The 21215-nt window shown below is 35.3% G+C and overlaps 1 protein-coding gene across 15 annotated transcripts in view; it reads right to left on the bottom strand.

The window, feature by feature from the left end:
- ERCC6L2 (ERCC excision repair 6 like 2) overlaps window positions 1-21215 on the bottom strand; it is a 165402-nt gene that overhangs the window by 140883 nt on the left and 3304 nt on the right. For 14 of the 15 annotated variants that reach the window (NR_164677.1, NM_001375291.1, XM_047423357.1 and 11 more), the window contains exons 2-3: window positions 18917-19341; window positions 2239-2361 (exon numbers count right to left, since the gene is read on the bottom strand). Coding sequence is in view for 13 of the 15 variants with exons in the window: in NM_001375291.1 (NP_001362220.1) it covers window positions 2239-2361; window positions 18917-19341 (548 nt within the window). In the remaining 2 variants the exon portion in view is untranslated. Of the gene's footprint in view, window positions 1-2238; window positions 2362-18916; window positions 19342-21215 lie in introns of those variants that run through there. The other variant, XM_047423356.1, reaches the window with a different exon arrangement.

The following is a 21215-nucleotide window of genomic DNA, read 5'->3' as shown; positions in this document are numbered from 1 at the left end:
CAGGGTATTCTTATGGTGCGCAGGCCGGTCTCAAACTCCTGGGCGATCCTCCAGCATCAGCCTCCCAAAGTGCTGGGATTACAGGTGTGAGCAACCATGCCTGGCCCAAAGGAACACTTATAGCTTTAAGGTAATTTATTAGAATACAAAAAGACTGAAAATAAATAAATTAAGAAATCAACTGAAGAAGGTAAATAGCAATGTACATTATAGCAAGGAATTTACAGTTCCTCCATATCTGTGGGTTTCATATCAGTGGATTCAACTAACTACAAATTGAAATACTAAAAAATTCCATCTGCACTAAACATGTACGCAGACCTTGTCATTATTTCCTAAACAATACAATATAAAAGCTATTTATGTAGACTTTACATTGCACTAAGTAAACTACAGATGATTTAAAGTATATGGGAGGATAACAGGTTATATGCAAATACACTATTTTATATCAAGGACTTGAGAATCCACACATTTTGGTACCCAAGAGAGGTCCTGGAACCAATCCCACATGGATACCAAGGGACAACTGTATATGTGTGTGTGTGATATGATACATCGCATATGCATACATACGCACACACACACACACACACACACACACACACATATATATATAAAGAGAAAAAAAGAAAGAAAGGAAAGAAGGAAGGAGAGGAACTGGAGTCAACTGAGGTAACTATTATAAGCATATTTTACCACATTATCAAATGAGTATCTTTGTTAACTTTCTTTTCTTTCATTCTTGTTCTTTTTTGAGACAGGGGTCTCACTTTATTGCCCTGGCTGGAGTGCAGTGGTGCAAACATGGCTCACCGCAGCCTCAACCTCCCCAGGCTCAAGTGATCCTCCCACTTCAGCCTCCGAAGTACCTGGGACTACTGGCACACACCACCACACCTGACTAATTTTCTGTATTTTTAGTAGGGAAGAGGTTTTGACATGTTGCCCAAGCTGGTCTTTAACTCCTGGGCTCAAGCAATTCGCCTTCCTTGGCCTCCCAAAGTACTGGGATTACAGGCATGAATCACTGCGCCTGGCCCATTCTTGTTCTATAATATTTTAAATATCTTTAAGTATTTTAATATATTTAAAATATTACTTTTCCTTCTTTGTTCTCTCTTCTATCTGCTGTCACAGTGGCATAAAAGAGATATATATAGGCTCTGTGGTGACATTTAGAACCAGGGAACAACTGAATCCAGAGCTAAAAACAGTACTTGAGCTATTGAATACTTAAAATACATTAAGAACCATTATTCTCTTCAGGATCACATTGAATCTGATACTCAGGATGCATTTATTCTACTGAAAAATAAAGAGAATTTAAAATGATAGCAATTATATCTTAAGCCAGTAGTTCTGAAAAGTTTGCATTGAAATGGTCTTTATGATAGACAAGAGTAAACTTGGACTTCTCAGCAATCTTGTACATAAGACTTGTATAAAAGAGTCTGTTTTAAAACTTGCTGTAAGTAGCTCATTACCAAATATAATAAAAGATTTCATAAAATCACTTCATTTTTATTCTTATCTGGTTTCCTGGAGGCTGAGGATAATATTTTTTAAAAGACATGTAAGTATAATATACTTTTTTATATTTCATTGCTTTATTAGAAATCTTTTTTGTAAGAATCATATATAACGTATTTATAAACATACGTTTATGAAGAAGAAAACTGAAGTATGGATATGAATAGCATTCAGTCATATGGGCAGAAAGAGAAATAAGCACAGACCTACCTAGTCTTTCTGATTCCAACTTTCCTATATTGGTAGAACTTATTTCATATTTTTTGGATGCAATTAGCTAGGCAACTTGAAATAAGTCAATGACGCACTTTTGTTACCAATATCTGTAACTATCGCCTTTTCATTCTCACATAAATAAAAAACAATATAATGAAGGTTTCAATTAACTTTACATATACATTCTGTAAGTTTAACAAATCAACCTAAGTAAATCATGTAAATCCAGCCAACCAACAGATTAAAACCTCAAAGCAAAACCAAGCTGAAATTCTGTTTTGCCATGACAGTCAATCAAATTTAACTTGGGAATAAAATTGGTAATCTTTCAAAAATTAGGCCTATAAAACAAATATTTTAATAACATCTTTAAATTCTTAGGTTTTAAAATGTATACCAATACATTTTAATGTGTGATATTTAAATATTTCTATATGCTTTTGTAATACCAGCATCATGAGTAGAATATACATTGTCTAGAGATTTTACCTTTTTTGCTGTAGAAGAAAGGGGTTCCTTTTTCATACTTCTTAGTAAAAACTCTGGCATGTTATTTTCAATATCCTCACGAGTTCCCTTTTTATGCAAAACTGCAGCCAGAAATGAAATAACCTGGGGAAAAAAGACTTTTTCAATCACTGTGTATAATGTATCATGACGTACAAAATTTCACTGCTTACATGACTATTCAATTAGTGACAAAGTATGTACAAAGAGATTTGTTGGGGGAAATAGAACATGAAATATTAGTACTGATTTTCTTTATTTGTAATAACAAACTGTTTTTCACTCTTGTAAACAAACAAAAATCCTCACATTACCATCTTTTCTTTTCATAACTTCTACCTACCCAATGAATTCTTTCTTAATTCCATCACTTGAGACACTACCTTCTTATTTGTTTCTAACCATGGAAACTATCTCTTCGTATCCTCTATCAGAATAAACTGTATACATTCTTGTTTCCATGTAGAAAATAAATTCCTTAAGGGGGATAATATTTGGCCCATAAATTTGTACACTTCTATTTATCTAATAAATATAGGTGAAATGGAAAAATGTTATTTTAAGACAGACTAATTCATTAATGTATGCAACATTTTGAATAACAGCTCATCTCCAAAAATCAAGTGAGCAAAACAGAAAAAAGGAACCATAACCTCATATAATAAATTAGAGCAAGAAATACTAAATTGATTTGACTTTGATTCAAATGTTAGCTCTGATTGCTTGGCTGCTCTGTGAAGTTAGGCAAGGGCGTTAACCTCTCTGAATAATATCTGTAAAAATGGCAAAAAATAATTTTGGCAAGGTTGTTTTAAAGATTGGGAAGAAAGGTATATGAGGTATCCATATGGAAGAAAATAACTGATCATTACCTTACAAAAATAAATAAGAAGAAAAACTATATAAAACAAAAAACTATGTGAGAATTAGAAAAATTATAGAAAAAAGTATACTTAACAAGGGTGTGGATACCTATAATCTGAATCCCAAATGATAGAAGAAAAGAAATGATACAGAAGTATCTGAAGAAATAAAAGCTGAAAACTTAACTGATTTTAAAAATCAAGCCACAGATTCAAGATCTTCTTCCAAGAACCAGAACCAAAACCAAAACAAAATGAAAACCAAAAACAAACAAAAAACCACAAGCAGGTGCTTGAGACAGCAAAATGTTTGTTAAAAGCAGCCAGAAGAAATAACAACAGATCACCTACAAAAAAGCAACAACTGGTCTGGCCACAGTGGCTCACCCATGTAATCCCAGCACTTTGGGAGGCTAAGACGGGAGGATCATTTTAGCCCAGGAATTTGAGACCAGCGTGGGCAACATGGCAAAACCCCATCTCTACAAAAATTAGAAAAATTAGCTGGGCACAGGGTGGCTCATGCCTGTATCACTAGCTACCTGGAAAGCTGAAGTAGGAGGACTGCTTGAGCCTAGGAGAATGAGGCTGCAGTGGGCCGTGACTGCACCACTGCACTCCAGCCTGGGCCACACAGCAAGACCCTGTCTCAAAATAAAAAAAAAAAATCAAAAAAAAAAAATCAAAAAACAAACAAACAAACAAACAAAAAAACAAATAGACAAGTAGCTGACCTTGCAGGAAAAAGAATGGAAGATACTATACAACAGAATATTTTCAAAGTGATAATAAAAGCAACCTATATTTTTATACCTACGGATGATATTCAAGAATGAAGGGTAAAGATTTTCAGACAACCAAAAAGTGAGCCAATTCATCACCAAAAGAGCCACACTAAAGAAACTAACTAAAGAATGTTTTCAGGTACAAGGAAAATGACTCTAGTTAGAAGATCGGTGACACAGGGAAAGATAAAGAGCAACAAAAATGGTAAATATATACAAAATATATATGTACATTGATTGACATTATGAAACAATAAAAAAGTTTGGTTGAAATCAAGTAACAGGTTAAAAGCTATGACAGCCTGTAATCCCAGCACTTTGGGAGGCCAAGGTGGGTGGATCACGAGGTCAGGAGATCAAGACCATCCTGGCTAACACGGTGAAACCCCGTCTCTACTAAAAATACAAAAAATTAGCCGGGCCCGGTGGCGGGCACCTGTAGTCCCAGCTATTCGGGAGGCTGAGGCAGGAGAATGGCGTGAACCTGGGAGAGGGAGTTTGCAGTGAGCCGAGATCGCGCACTACACTCCAGCCTGGGCAACAGAGCAAGACTCTGTCTCAAAAAAAAAAAAAAAAAGCTATGACAACAAATGTATATGAGTCAGAAGGAGCACAAGTGTAGTTATAATATTCTGAGGTCACTATGCTGTAGGGAGGAAACTAAAGTACTAATTTATGTTAGATTATGATAAATCAATGGTATCTGTTGTAATCTCTAGGGTAATCATTAATAGAAGAATAAAAGAATGTGTACCTAATAAAAGGGGATAATAAAGTAATAGGAAACAATCTACCCAAAAGGACACAAAAAAAGTGGGAAAAACATGACATGGAATAAATAAAAATCAAACAGTAAAATACTAAGTTTAAATCCAAATATACTAGAAAGCACATTATATGGAAATGGACTAAACTGTCTAAACAAAAGATAAAGACTGTCCAAATAAAATATATTTCCTTGTCATTTACAAGAAAAACTTCTTAAAAAAGGGATAAAAATTCTAATAAGAAAATAAAAATGACAGACCATGTAAACAAAAATCAAAGAAAATTGATATAGCTATATTCATATCAGATAAAGATGCTGAGACAAAAAAGCATTATGAAATTAAAGAGGCACACTTTAACTTAATATTGATAATAAAATTAGTTCACTTGGAAATTTTAAGAAGTCTAAATTTATCAATAAAGAAAAATTTATTGAAATAAAAGTAGACAAATCCACAAGCACAATGGTAGATTTTAAAATAACTCAGCAAGAACAAACAAAATAATCAGTAAAGATACAGAAGACTTTAATAACATGATTGTCAACCTTCACCTAACGAATATTTGCTAGAACACTGCACACTACTGCAAAGCAGTTTCATTTTAAGTACCCACGAAATAGTTACCAAAGTTGACATACCGGGCCTGGTGCAGTGGCTCACGCCTGTAATCCCAGCATTTTGGGAGGCCGAGGCGGGCGGATCACCTGAGGTTAGGAGTTCAAAACCAGCCTGGCTAACATGGTGAAATCCCGTTTCTACTAAAAATATAAAAAATTAGCTGGGCATGGTGGCGTGTGCCTGTGATCCCAGCTACTTGGAAGGCTGAGGCAGGAGAATCACTTGAACCCAGGAGGTGGAGGTTGCGGTGAGCCAAGATCACGCCATTGCACTCCATCTTGGGCAATAAGAGTGAAACTCCGTCTCAAAAAAAAAAAAAAAAAAAAAAAAAAAGGCTGACATATGCCAGGCCACAGAAGTCTCAATACATTTCAGTAGACAGAAACCATACAGAATATGTTCTTTGATCACAATACAAGAAACTAGAAATAACAAAAATATAAGCAGAAAATCTCCAAATGTTTGGACAGTAAGGAACAGAGTTCAAACAACTCACAATATAAATTATAAAATATTTGAATTAAATAATGAGTAACAATACATGTTGAATTTGTAGAATATGGCTAAAGCTGTACCTTAGGGACTTAAATGAATATTACAGACAGTCCCCAACTTATGATAGCTCAACTTGCAATTTTTCAATTTACAATGGTATAAAAATAATACACATTCAGTATAACTGTAAATCAAGTACCCATACAATCATTGTTTTTCACTTTTAGCAAAATATTCAATAAACTATATGAGATTCAACACTTTAGTATGAAACAGGCATTGTGTTAGATGATTCTGCCCAACTATATGCTAACGTAAGTGTTCTGAGCATGTTTAAGGTAGGATAGGCTAAGCTATAACGTTCAGTAGGTTAGGTGTATTAAATGTGTTTTCAACTTATAATATTTTCAACTTACAATGGGTTTATGGGGACATAACCCCACTGTAAGTCAAGGAGCATCTGTATTAGGAAAGAAGAGGGACTATTAATCAGTTATCAAAGAATCTATCTCAAAAACTTATGAAAATAACAGAAAATTTAACACAAAAAAGCAGAAATTACTAAAGCATACAATGAAAATGATCAACAATGCCAAATGATCATCCTTTGAAAGAATTTTTTCAATAAACCCCTGGCAAAATTGATGAAGAAAAAATAGAGAAAAGGCAAACAAAAAATATGTATAAGCCATAATAATGCTTTGCCAATAAATGTAAAATTTAGAGGAAATTTAGAAATAGAACTTATCAAAAACCAACACAAGAAAAGGAAATTTAAATACTCATAAAACCATGAAATAAACCTGAATATGTAATTATAAACCTTCCACAAAGAAAGTTAAGGGCCAGATAGTTTCACCAACAAATTCTACCTAATGCTTAAGAAAAATGTAATGCCAATCTGTAACAGACCCTTTCAGGGTTTAGAAAAAGGGGAAAATACTGTGACCTCGTTTTATGAGTTCAGCGTAACTTTGATAAGAAAACCTGACAAGAACATTATAATACAGGAAATTTACAAGCCAATTTATCTTACTCATATAGAAGCCAAACTCTTAAACAAAATATTAGCACACAGAACACAGAAATTTAAAAAAGGAAATAATATATACCAAAACCAAACTGGGTATATTCTGCAAATATAAGTTTGACTTAACCTTTGAAATTTAGGTATTAGGTAGTTATCAGCTAGGTATATTAGGCATTACACTTAGCATTCCTAACTCTTAGATTCCTTAAAATGAGAATAGAATGACCTATTTACAAGAAACATATTTTATCTGAAGCAGTACATTATTAGGTACATTGCAAGAAGTTGAGAATGTATATTTTATCATTAGAGCAACCACTAAAAATAAAAAGCAAAGAAGTATAGATAAAAAGTCAATAGAAAAATTAAAATAAAATTCTAAAAAATATCATATCAACCCAAAAGGCAAATCAGACTGTTTCTGAATGAACAGATTTGTATCCAAATCCATACATAAGAATTACATTAAATGTAAATGAACTAAATATTCCAATTAAATATCAGAGATTGTCAGAATGAATAAAAGAGCTGTCTACAAGGGACACTTCATAGTAAAAAAATGGTCAATTCATCAGGAAGATATAACAATCACAAAGGTTTGTGACCCTAATAACGGAGCTTCAAAATATATGAAGGTAAAACTAGCAGATTAAAAGAAATAGACACATCTGGCTTGGCGCAGTGGTTCACACCTATAATCCCAGCACTTTGGGAGGTTTAGGTGGGTGGATCACTTGAGGTCAGGAGTCCGAGACCAGCCTGGCCAACATGGTGAAACCCTGCTTCTACTAAAAATACAAAAATTAGCTGGGTGTGGTGGCACATGCCTATAATCCCAGCTACTTGGGAGGCTGAGGCATGAGAATCACTTGAACCAGGAGGCAGAGGTTGCAGTGAGCTGAGATCACCACCACGCTCCAGCCTGGGTGAGGGAGCAGGACCTTGCCTCAAAAAAAAAAAAAAAAAAAGATTTATACACTTCACCGAGAAACTTGACTTTTAGGAATCTATCCTACAGAGAAATACTCTTAGAATTCTATCCTACAGATATTCACTATTTGCTATTTCCTAAAATAGGCAACAACCCAAAAATCCTTCTCCCTAGGTCCCTAGAGGAATGGTAAAATAAGTTACAGAACATATAATCTATAGTATGCAGTAATTTATTAATTAATGAATGGGGACAATCCTTATGTACCAACATAAAAAGATCTCCAAGACCTATGTTTAAGTGAAAAAAACAAGGAGTAGAATAACATATAGAAATAATAGTCCTATTTTTTAAATTTATTTACACATACATTAAAATTACAACTTGTTCAACCAAATAAAAAAACAGATTGGACTTCATAAAACTTAACTTTCGTGCATCAAAGTAAAATAACAAGCAAATAAAAAGACAACTATAGAATGAGAGAAAATATTTGCAAATCATATATCTGATGAGGGATTAGTATCCAAAATACATAAAAATTCTTACAACTCAACAATAAAGACAATGAAATTAAAAAACAGGCAAAAGACTTAAATATATATTTCTTTCTCTAAAGATCTACAAAGGGCCAAAAAAGCACATGAAAATATGTTCAACATCATTGGCCATTACAGAAATGCAAATCAAAACCGTAATGAAATACCACTTAACACATAGTAGGATGGCTATAATGAAGAAAACCAAAAAATAACAAGTGTTGGCAATGATGTGGAGGCATAGGAAACCTGGACAATTGTTGGTAGGAATGTAAAATGTTTTAGCCATTGTGGAAAATAGTATTGCAGTTCCTCGAAAAAAAAAAAAAGAAACACTGAATTACCATAAAACCCACTAATTCCAATTCTAGGAATACACACAAGAGAAATGTTTGCATACAAATGTTCACAGAAGCATTATTCATAATAACTAAAAGTGGAAACAACCCAGAAACTAGAAAGAGGTGGGAGTTGCACAACATTCTGAATGCATTAAATGCACTCAATTAATCATTTTATATAATGAATTAATGCTGTGTGGACTTATCCTCAATTTAAAAATTACAGCTTGCATTTTTATAAGAATGCGTTTGTGTATTACAGTGTAATCAGAATTATTTTTATTCTAGAAAAAAGTTAAAAAGTATGTACGTAAAGTGTCAAGTCAGTAAATATCAATGATTCAATAAACAGGAGCTTTTTTTTGAGACAGAGTTAGGGACACACTTGTTGCCCAGGCTGGAGTGCAATGGTGCGATCTTGACTCACCGCAACCTCCGCCTCCCGGCTGCAAGTGATTCTCCTGCCTCAGCCTCCTGAGTTAGCTGGGATTACAGGCATGCGCCACCATGCCCAGCTAATTTTGTATTTTTAGTAGAGACAGAGTTTCTCCATGTTGGTCAGTCTGGTCTTGAACTCCCGACCACTGGTGATCTGCCCACCTTAGCCTCCCAAAGTGCTGGGATTACAGGCAAACAGTAGCTATTTTTAATCCCAGCACTTTAGGAGGCAGAAGCGGGCAAGCTCAGGAGTTTAAGGCCAGCCTGGGCAGCATGGTGAAATCCCACCTCTACAAAAAGTACAAAAATTACCCAGGCCTGGTAGTGCGCATCTGTAGTCCCAGCTACTCGGGAGGCTGAGGTGGGGAGGATCACTTGAGCCCAGGAGGTCAAGGCTGCAGTGAGCCAACACTGCACCACTGCATTCCAGCCTGGGCAAAAAAGCGAGACACTGTCTCAAAAAACAAAAACACATTAGCTATTTTTCTGGCATCATTCCTTAAGGTAGAAGGCTTTGTTTCTTGCATATGATCTTGTATATAATAAACAAAGTAGCTTTTGCAAATTATGTTGTCTAAAATATTATAAAAAGATGAAAAATAGGATGGTTTAAACTTGTCCTAAGTTTTAAAATATTCTAACAAAATTCGCATGTCAATTTGCAGGACTTATCACAAAGACTTTGGTGTCTGACCAACCAGTTTCATACTAGCTATGTGACACTGGGCAATTTACATAAACTTTCTATAAATTTTAATATTTTCACCAATTAAATAGAGGCAAGAATATCTAATTAACATGAATGTTTAATGGAAAATGTTTATCATAGAGCCTGGCAAATATAGGCAATATAAGTTATAACCATAGAACCATAATGTTATCCAATTCAACTTAAAATTCACTAACACATTCAATAAAAATATATTTATTACCTACTCAATACCAAGATGCTGGAATAGTCTAGGTGAAAGGCTATTTCTAGATGCTGGAATAGTCTAGATGAAAGGCTATTTCTATCATTCAGTAGTATGAAATCAAGCTGATTTGGGGTGACAGGGAAGAGGTAGTTAGGAGATGTGTTGAAGGAGCATGGTTGAGAAAAAAGTGGACAAATGAACAGAAAATAAACAGTTACTAAAGAATCCAGTGAGAGATTAATGTGCGCAAACTGGCTGATGTAGAACATAAATTAAAAGAAAGAGAACGGATACTCCACAAATAACTGAGTTTAGGCATTGGACAATTTAAATATTGTTAACACCACCTAAGTAAAAGATCTTTGATGCATGTTCACAATTTTCATTTTATAAATATTTTTAAAGTTATGTTTTCTATTTAAAAATACATCACCTAATATTAGAATTTACTGAATTCCTTGATGGTGTAAATAAGCATAACATTTTGGGTTCTAACTACCTTTTGGAATATAACTTTACACTGATCACAGAAAATTTATAATTAAAAGTATAGGTAATTGGCATATTGACTGGAAAGGGGCATGAAAAAACTTTTTAGGGTAATGGAATTGTCCTATATTTTGATTAGTATATTAGTTACACAGACATAGACATTTGTCAAAGCTCATTAAGTAGTATACCTGAGATCTGTGCATTTTACAGTTTAAGTGTACCTTAATTAAAGAATTAAAGATACACACATGCACACACACACACACATATATTGACAGATATACTCTTTTTAATTTTAGGCAACTGGTCCTCAAAGGCTACTGAAAAGACAAGAGAGATACCTATTAGATACCATAACAATTTAAATGAGGTAATATAAGATCAAATCCACTGATTTGCTCTTAACTCACCTACAGATTGTTTCATTATAGGAAAATTATATTCCTAATTGTGCAAATTCATAATTCAATTTGCTCATCTATCCAAGGTGATATACGATCTTAATTCTAACTTCATTTGTCAAATTCTCTAAAACAAAGATATGTGAAATGTTCCTTGTGTTTAAGAATCTCAGATCTTTGGAAGATATTTCATATGTGGCAGCTAAATTTATAAACTCTAAGTATAGATTAGCTTTATTTAATTCACTAAATCCACTAATGATTTTTAAAAATCTTTGTATCTCATTTAAATCATCTACACTACCTCTTAACACTACTTATCCACCCACCCCCGAAAAACTTAAGTTGAAATAGTAATAAACTTTAGTTGAGAATACAAACTGGAGAAGCTAGCTAAAACCACTAACAAACTCTTAGCTATATATTAATTATATTAATTAAAATATACTAATAGGTATTGTGGTAATGCTAGCAGCAAAGTGTCAATACACAAAAGACAGTTAGGGAAGGGAGAATGTGAAGAACAGCACAGGTGGATTTTATGGACCAGGACTATAAATGGCACTCATCACTTCTACCCTTATTTCTGCTGGCGGAACCCAGTCACAAGCTCCACTGACATGCAAGGAGATTTGGGAAATGCAGTCTCTGTCAGCTAGCCCAAACTCTAAGAAGGCAAAGGAAATATGTATTTTGGGTGGAGATCTAGCCATCTTACCACACTATGGTGGTCCAGTAGAGGTCTATCAAAATATTAATTCACAGAAGACTAAAGACACATTTACAATGAAGGTTTACAAAACTTATCTGCAAAGAAAAAGCCAGAACATGTTTTATTGTGGAATAGTTCTAAAATTGCTTATAGATGAAAAGAACAAAAACAAATATTTAAATCAGTCACCTCTAGAATAGTGAAAGGCCAAAAACTGCATTTCAGAAATGAAATATCACTCTGGGAAAGCTTTCTGTTTTTACATGTATTCCTTTCTAAACTCTGTCAAGCCAACAGTTTTATAAGTCATCTTTCCTCACAGAGTCAGCTCATGACATACTGAGTAAATCTGAGGCTGGGAAAAAGGGCATAAACCTTCCCTTAGACCAGAAGAGGAAGGCATAGCAAAAATTGTCTATTTCTTACAGAACAAAAAGAAAAAAATGTTTACTACCTTATTTTTCAACTTCCTGGGAGATACAAAGGTACAGAGAGAGTGGTTCAGAACCACACTTCAAAAGTATTTTTGCTCGCTTTGAAAAAAAAAAAAAAACCACAAAGTGCTGTTTTGAAATGGGGTCTAGCTCACTTATCTTTACAAAGCTCTCCCCTAAAATCAGAACTACATGCCAAAAGAAGAAATACAATTTTATCTGTGAAATACTAGTACATTTTTGTTTCTGCTTAAAAGGGCTCAGGGATCTGGGGGCTAATTAACCTTCCACACTGGATATTATAGCATTTTCTCAATGAATGAAAATAAAGACAATATTATTTTTCTCTTTATTACTATATTCCTGAGTGAATAACATGACTTGAGATCCCAAGAACCTTCATATTTTAGTATGTTTTGAATCTACTGAAGATCTTATTATCCAAAAAAGGTACTGAAAATAACCTAAGAAACCTTTAATTATCAGCAATCCCATTTCTCTCAAGAGTGAGGTTTACTATACATCTTTTTAATAAGACAGCCTTCAGTAATGACATTTTCAATAATGTAATATCTAATAATATAGAAACAAAAATTCAAAGAATGTCTTCATGCTTTGCAAAATTCTATCTCTGCTACTCAAAAAGTACTATTATCTTCTTTGCATAGCAGATGAGAAAATAAAATAATATGGTAAGACATATTACTGCATCTGCTTAATAGTAGTCCTTAAGATTTTGGTGTCTGTAAAAGCTAATTACCACACTACCATTAAAAACTAAATTATTTTGATTCAATGAATTTGAGCTCTTCTCTTGTGATAAACCTTTCAAATACTATATTAGAGCTATGCCTTCAGTAAAAAATAAAATTCATTAAAACTCAATTCAAAACTCAAAGTTTGGTGGGTTTCCAAAAGCAAAGTATGAAAACACCAATTTCCCTGTGGAGTCTTCTTTGACACCCCCAGGCAGGCTTGTTTCTCCCCCCCAACCCACTTACCAGACTAGATGACTCTTGGCCTCATTTCCTTTTATTACTCTTTTGTGAACTCTGTAAGGCAGGTGTATTAGGGTTCTCTAGAGGGACAGAACTAATGGAATAGAGATATATGAGGAGTTTATTAAGTACTATCTCACACGATCACGAAGTGCCACAATAGCATGTCTGCAGGCTGAAGAGCAAGGAGAGCCAGTCCAAGTTCCAAAACTGAAGAACTTGAGTCCGACGTTCAAGGACAGGAAGCATCCAGCATGGGAGAAAGATGCAGGCTGGGAGGCTAGGCCAGTCTCTCTCTTCACATTTTTCTGCCTGCTTACTTCTAGCCACGCTGGCAGCTGATAAGACTGTGCCTGCCAGATTAAGGATGGGTCTGTCTTTCCCAGCCCACTGACTCAAATATTAATCTCTTTTGGCATCACCCTCACAGACACAACCTAGATCAATACTTTGTATCCTTCAATCCAATCAAGTTGACACTCACTAGTAACCATCACAGTAGGTATTATATGCATTTATATTCATATTGGCTCTTCAGTGCCAATCACAGTGCCTGGCCCAGAGTGAGTACTTATCAAATGTCAACCAATTGAACAAATGGTTAAAAGTTGAGTAAAAGGCTTTTAATTAACTGTATTATTAAGTCAAAAGAAGGCAGTAGATGATAGAAGAGGAAAAAAATAACAGTTCTAGAATAGAAATGAAAATTATTACTTCTGTGCCTGACCCTAGATAGGGAAGTCATTCCTGTGCCTGTTTTACGTACTAAGTTAAAAAGCTGAACAAAATTATCTCTAATATCATTTCCATTTCTAAATGTATTTTTTTTTTAAATGAAATGATCATCATCCTATGTATACATATTAACACAGAGGCCAGGCACAGTAGTTCCTGCCTGTAATCCCAGCACTTTGAGAGGTCAAGGCAGGCAGATCACTTGAGCTCAGGAGTTCAAGACCAGCCTGGGCAACTCGGGAAAACCCCATCTCTACCAAAAATACAAAAAATTAGCTGGGCGTGGTGGTGAGCAACTATGGTCCCAGCTACTTGGGAGGCTGAGGTGGGAAGATCGCTTGGGCCCCGGAGGTGGACTTTGCAGTGAGCCGAGATCTCGCTACTGCACTCCACCCTGAATGCCAGAGTGAGACCCCCATCTCAAAAAAACAAAAAGAGAACAACAACAAAAAAGATTCACGTAGACCAAACATCCCTTAACCAATGTTCACTGAACTCACCAGATTAATCAAAGTTTTCTAACCCTCTGAAAAACACACCGTCTGAGCAAAGGCTCTGAAACTTTAGTGGGCCTTGGAATTACCTGAAGCATCTGTTAAAACACAGATTGCCATCCTCTCCTACTCCCACCGAGTTCACAATTCAGTATGTCTGCAGTGAGACCCCGGAATTTACAATCCTAACAAGTTCCCAGGTGACACTAATGCTGCTGACCCAAATATCCACTTTAGAGAACCACTACTCCATGGTAAGCACCCACTCACCTCTTTTCCTATCACTGAGTTGTCTGATTACCAAAGGTCAGGTTCCCAAACCTGTATACTCCAGTGAAATTGTTTATTGTACTTAAACTAGCTAATTATCACGTAAATGTACAAAAGGGATTCATTTTCAAGTTACCTGTTGAATTAGATGTGAAAATTCTGTGAAATATTGGGAGATAGTCATAAAAATCTTGGATTTTGTATTAAAATTTCCTCAAGTATCTTTAATTTTTCAGTCCCACTAAAACCAAAAATAGTAGGTGATGAACTGCATGGTGTTGAACATATCAAGGGCACAATGGACATGAGGAAATCTAGGAGTGATAGACATGTTCATCGTCTTGGCTGTGATGATCTTTTCTTGGATATGTGTATGTGGGATAAAATGTATTAATGTCTGCTATTTTAAAATGCAACAAAAGATGGATGGATATTACAAAACCATGTATAATGAAATATTAACAGAATCTAAGTGGTGAGAATATGGCTTTTCATTGTACCATTCTTTTAACTCTTCTATGTTTTAGAAAAATGTCAGAAGGTATCGGGAAAAATTAGTTCATAATCTTTGACAAAAAAAAATCTGCAACCTGCTTATAAGATAGTAGTTATTATGTGACTCCATTTTTTGCATATGTATGTTTGTGTGTGTGTTTACAGAAGTACATGTATATGTGGGCATATCATTATGTATGTTGCATATTTATCTGTGCCCTCTTCACCAGATCTGTCCTTCCAATTCACCTTAAAAATACTCAAGTCTTTCCTACCCCCAAACAATACAAAACAAACAAAAAAGAAACCCCCTCAAATTCTCGTCTCTCTCTTCACCTACTACTAGGTCACTTTTATTCCCTTTCGAAGCCATATTTCTTAAAGAGGTAAATATACGTTCTTTCTATGTCCACGTCTTCACCTACTCCATTATGGCTTGTGTCTGAAAGCTCCAGCAAAATGGCTCTTGCTCAGCATACCAATGATTTCTATGTCACTAGAACAAATGGACATTTTTCAATTCTCATCCCCTGTAGAGTGTAAAATATTAAATTCACCTACTTTTAAATTTGAAATGAGGGAAGGAAACTTTATTTGGTATGTAAAACAAGCTTTAAAAAGACTTCAGTTTCATATCATGGCCAAATTAGAATATAAAAAGGGGGAAACTAAAGGGATGAAATCAAGAAACAGGAAAAAAAAAAAAGAAGAAAAGAAGATAAAACTATAGCTCAAACAGTAAATGTCAATGGTCTATTTTCATTATCAATTAATTTTACTACATTCTGAAATTTTAGTTAACACAGTAATCATTCACATTTCTTCAACTGGCTTAGTCATATCTATAGAAGCTTTATCTATCTATAGAAGCTCTACCTTAAATGGGTCTTTCAAACCACCTATCTATGTAGAAATTATTCCCTGAGTTACAACAACAGTAACCAGAGAACTAGGTCCCCAAGCATCAGACAAATCCATCTGAGTATCAAAATTAGTGCAGAAACCATTTCCTAATCTTCAGACGGTACTCCCTCAAAGACTTGCACAGCACACTAACAGCATGTACCAGAACATCTCCAAGTCCTTCAATGATTACAGTGTATCAGGAATAGAAAATTCTGCAGTAAAATCAGCTCCTTTAAAAATAATCCTATGAACTGTAAAATAAAGTAAATTTCTTTGTAACATGGGCCTCAGAGATGAAAGACAGCCTTCAAATTTGAGACTAAAATGTGCGCAAGAATTTGAATTCGAATTGTATTTAAGCTGCAGGATGGTGGTTCCCAAACAGATCACTTTTTGTATGTAGTACCCTCATGTTTCTTCTTTTTTTGTATGTGAGACAGAGTCTCACTCTGTTGCCAGACTGGAGTGCAGTGGCACAATCTCGACTTACTGCAACCTCTGCCTCCCAGGTTCAAGAGATTCTCCTGCCTTGGCTTCCCAAGTAGCTGGGACTACAGGCGTGGGCCACCATGCCCAGCTAATTTTTGTATTTTTGTAGAGATGGGGTTTCACCATGTTGGCCAGGATGGTCTTGATCTCTTGACCTCGTGATCCGCCCGCCTTGGCCTCCCAAAGTGCTGGGATTACAGGTGTGAACCACCAAACCCAGCCTCATGTTTATTTTGAAGTTGAACATGCACTGGCTAATCAAAGAATTGTGGTAACAAACATTCTACCACAGGCAAAAACAGTAGAAGTATATGCGAAAACAGTTACAGCAGGGCTTTAATTAATTTATTAATTTTCCTCTAGTACTCATCTGTAATCTTGGTCACAGATGGCGTTACTGAAACACCACGGGTTCGGTCTAAGACCTGCTGCTCACCATACAGCCAGCCAATCACTGAGACAACACGTATTGCCAAGGAAAAATGCTTTAATCAGGCACTGTAGCCAAGGATCAGTCTCAAATCCATCTCCCTGATTAAAATTAGGAGTTTTTACAGCAGAGAAGAAATGTAACAATGTATGGGAAAACAGGAAGTTGGGAGGGCTAAGGAAGTAATCTGATGAATGAGAGGCCTGGTGTCTCACTGTCTGAATTCTACGATCTGGTGAGTTTCAGTTCTTTGATACTTTTTGAGAGGCCTGGGGGTCCTTTCCTGAGGAAGGAACTCAGATAAAACAAATACAAGTTTAAAGCTTTAGGACCAGAAGGGTCAATTTCTATGTTTATCCAAAAACAAGCAAACAAACAAACAAAACTGTCTGTGGGACTGTTGGGTCAGTTTCAGAGGTAATTTCTTGAAGGCTCCTTTCTTTATTCTTGCTGTCTATCCTCCACCTACAGGCCGGCATGCTAAATGATAGTTTGTGGAATAAACGAAGAAGGTAAATTCATTTATTCCACAAACAATCATTTAGCACGTCCAGTGTGCATGTCTAAACTATCTGCACTGCCTAGGCTTGAAGGAACATAGAGTATGGTTAATGGTAATATGATTATTAAAAGACTTTATTTTAGCCTAGTTTTTCACACCAGACCTTTACACACAGTAGCATTATTTGGCTATTTTTTTTTTCTTTTCTTTTTCCTTATTCCATCATTGGTGTCTGAAATTTGGCTATTTATAAATGTTAAATTTAGTTTTCCACTTAAACCTTTGAGTTCCAATAACTAATGGAGGTAATATGAAGAAGAAAATAAGTTAAACTCAATTATAAGAAAGGAAGCAGAATAACTTAATCACAAACTAGGCACACACTCCTGAAAATCTAAAGTGATCGTTTAGTATAAAATCTAGATTCAAAACTCTATTCTTCTTGGATCACAAACCTCTTTGAAAATCTAAGGAAAGCTAAAGACCCTGTAGCAGGCAGCTTCTGACAGGACTCCCAATAATACCCACCTCTTCATATTCCCAGTCCTGTTTAATCTCCTTCCCTTGAGTTCTGGCTGGACTTAGCAACTTGCTTCTAATGAGAAGAATGTGACAAAAGTGAAGGGATGTCTCTTGTGTTATTACATCACCAAAGACTATGACTTCTGTTTTACTAGTGCTGTCTCTTGCCCTCCTACTTGCTCTCCTTTTATGAAGCAAGCTACCTTGTGTGAGATGCCCCATGAAGAGGTCCATGTGTCAAGGAAGCAAAGGAGGCCTCCAGCCAACAGCTCACAAGAAACTGAGGCCAAGAACCCACAAGGAACTGAATCCTGCCAACAAACAGGTGGGCTAGGAAGTGAATCTTCCCCAGTCACCTTGAGATGACTGCAGCCCTGTGAGAGGCAAAGCTACAGGACCAGGCTAGGCGGCAGCTGGATTCCCAACCCACAGAAACTGTGAGACAATACATGAATATTGTTTTAAGCTGCTAAATTTGGCATAATTTGTTATACAGAAACAGATTAACTACAACAAATCCCCTCTTTAGGAAAGTATGTATGTGTACAAATTCTAGTACACATTTTAGGGAATCTTGAAGTCTCTCTGAAGTTCACAAACAGAACTGCTAGTGACCCAGGGATTCCAGATTAAGAAACTTCTAACATGATAAACTTCGAACAATATGCACAAAAGGCCTATAGGAACAATTTAACCATGCTATGTGGCATAACAAATGTTAGAATGCTTTCCTTCCATTAAGTATGAAGAAAGTTAAATGACTTCAAATATATTGATATCTTAGTACCAGTATTACCAAAGGTAAAATCAAACCAAGTGGTACCAAAACATTATTTTGGAATAAAATATTTCATAGGTACTGAAGAATGATAAAATAACTGAGACATTGTCCTCAACTTTGAGGACTTCACTATCTAGTTAGTGAGACAAACACAAACATACACAGGAACACACAAAATAGCTATCGTAACAGCAGTACAAATAAAGATTTACATATAGTATCCACTCATGTACACAGTAAAGTGACTTTACTGTTATAACATAATTAAATACCTGTACTGTTTTTCCAAGTCCCATGTCATCACCCAGAATGCACCCTCCTCCATGGATGTAGTGTCCATAAAGAAACCGGGTTCCTTCTCTTTGGTAGTCTCTCAAATACCTATTGATGGTATAAGGAATAGAGTCTCCATTGTCAGATAATTTAAAAGCAACAGAAGATGATGGAAATTTTCGGTTTGGGAAATAAGGTTTTTCTAAATCTTCATCATCAAATATAAGATTCCTAGGGCAATCTTTAACAAATTTCACTTCTTGAAGCTGTTTAAGAGGTATTTTCCTTTCTTGAAAATCTGCATATAAGACGACTGCAAATGACTTGCCATTTTCATCCACTGTGATAGATTTTATGCTTGCTTCACAAAGTTTTCCATTATCTGGAGAAGGGGCAAGACATCTTTCTCCTGGATGCCATATGTCTGCAAGAATAAAGAAAATAAAGTTTCCAAAGCTAGCTTATAAAGTAACACCTCATTTATTCACAGCTGTGAGAAACAATATATACCTCACATAAATGCCTTTTCCAAAAAACTGGAACAAGATAAATTCTAACATGTATAGATATTTTTCTAAAATAGATTTTCAGATATTCTCCTATAATAAACAGAATAAAGGGTACATACTTTATTTCCAGTGGTTCTTACCCTAACTGTGTGTCATCATCTCCCCTGGAGTTTAAAAATATACATTCTTAGACACCACCTCTAGTGATTCTTATTCAGTGGATAGGGGTCACGGGCATCTGGTTTTATTGTTTTGTTTGGTTGTTATTGTTGAATTCAAAAGATCATTCTGACGCACAGCCAGGGTTGAGAGCCACTGACTAAAATATTCTTCCTGACTCATGAACATATATATATACATATATTTCATGATATGGTAGAGTAATCGTGAATAGGACTTGGTAATGAGTAAACTAAAATCCTCTGGACAGCAATGCTTTGTGGTTCATCTGTCTTTTTTACAGTTATTCCATTGCCTTTCTCTAGAAACAGCTGTTTCTTTTCACTGCAATATTGTTGCCTCTAAGCCTTTACTTTAACCACTGCTTGTATACAGCTAACCATGGGAACCTCCAATTCAACTACAGTGATGTCACAGCTTTTCCTCTTCCGGGTTTTGAATATTTACTTTAAGAGATGAATTCTAAGATCTCTTTCTGCAAAGATCCTATTACACTTTAAAGAGTATTACCTCTCTCTTTATGAACTTATTCTGTGACTAACCATACAGCTATTTTATTTTCCCAGAAAATATACCACTATGAATGAGGAGGGAGTCCACAGTATACTATTGGTACAATTAAAAAGTATCAAATAAAGAAAACTAAGTAAAAATAATTTTCCAAATGGAATTTCTTATGGCAAGAATCCAAAAATAATTCTATGGCTACAAACATAAGAACACTAGGAATTATTTTTCCTATACATTTCTCACTGAGATCAGATAACCACTGGCAGTTTCCTAGGGTCTTCCTGATGACCTCCAGTTAGATATTTATAACTACAACATGACATGTTTATACTATCTAAAGCAAGAATAGCTCATTAAATTCCTCATCCATCAGTTGTTCCTTAAAAGTAAAGCCACTAACTTTGATGAGGTTATTTTACCATAACAATAATGAGTACAGAGGGAAAAACCTTCTCTCCCACTCTACTCTCTGGACCCAAACTGTTGACAACTGTTACACCATTCTAAAAGAGTGTTTTAATGTCAAACTAAAGCCTCGATCCACTGTACAAGTAGAACAACATATAGGTCAATGGGCCCAATTTTCATAACAGTACTATTTGCACCTTAAAACCTAAAGCAACCCTTACAGCAATTCTTAACACATTACTTATATTTCCCATTATGTGTTTGCCTACCCTATCATTTCTTAAGACTTATTTTATTATCTATTATTCAACATATGTGATTTAAGCACAAATTATTCACCAAATATTATACCACACAATGGGTATAAAATGAAGAAAACTAATGTCAAAAATGATGGTGACTAATAGTCTTCCTGCATCTTATTAACTGGCATCATCTCAGAGAAATGCAAATCAAAGCCACAATGAGATACCATCTCACACCAGTTAGAATGGCAATCATTAAAAAGTCAGGAAACAACAGGTGCTGGAGAGGATGTGGAGAAATAGGAACACTTTTACACTGTTGGTGGGACTGTAAACTAGTTCAACCATTGTGGAAGTCAGTGTGGCAATTCCTCAGGGATCTAGAACTAGAAATACCATTTGACCCAGCCATCCCATTACTGGGTATATACCCAAAGGACTATAAA

The sequence above is a fragment of the Homo sapiens genome, chromosome 9, assembly GCF_000001405.40.
Source record: "Homo sapiens chromosome 9, GRCh38.p14 Primary Assembly".
NCBI lineage: Eukaryota > Metazoa > Chordata > Mammalia > Primates > Hominidae > Homo > Homo sapiens.
This window is presented reverse-complemented; position numbering and strand designations above follow the sequence as displayed.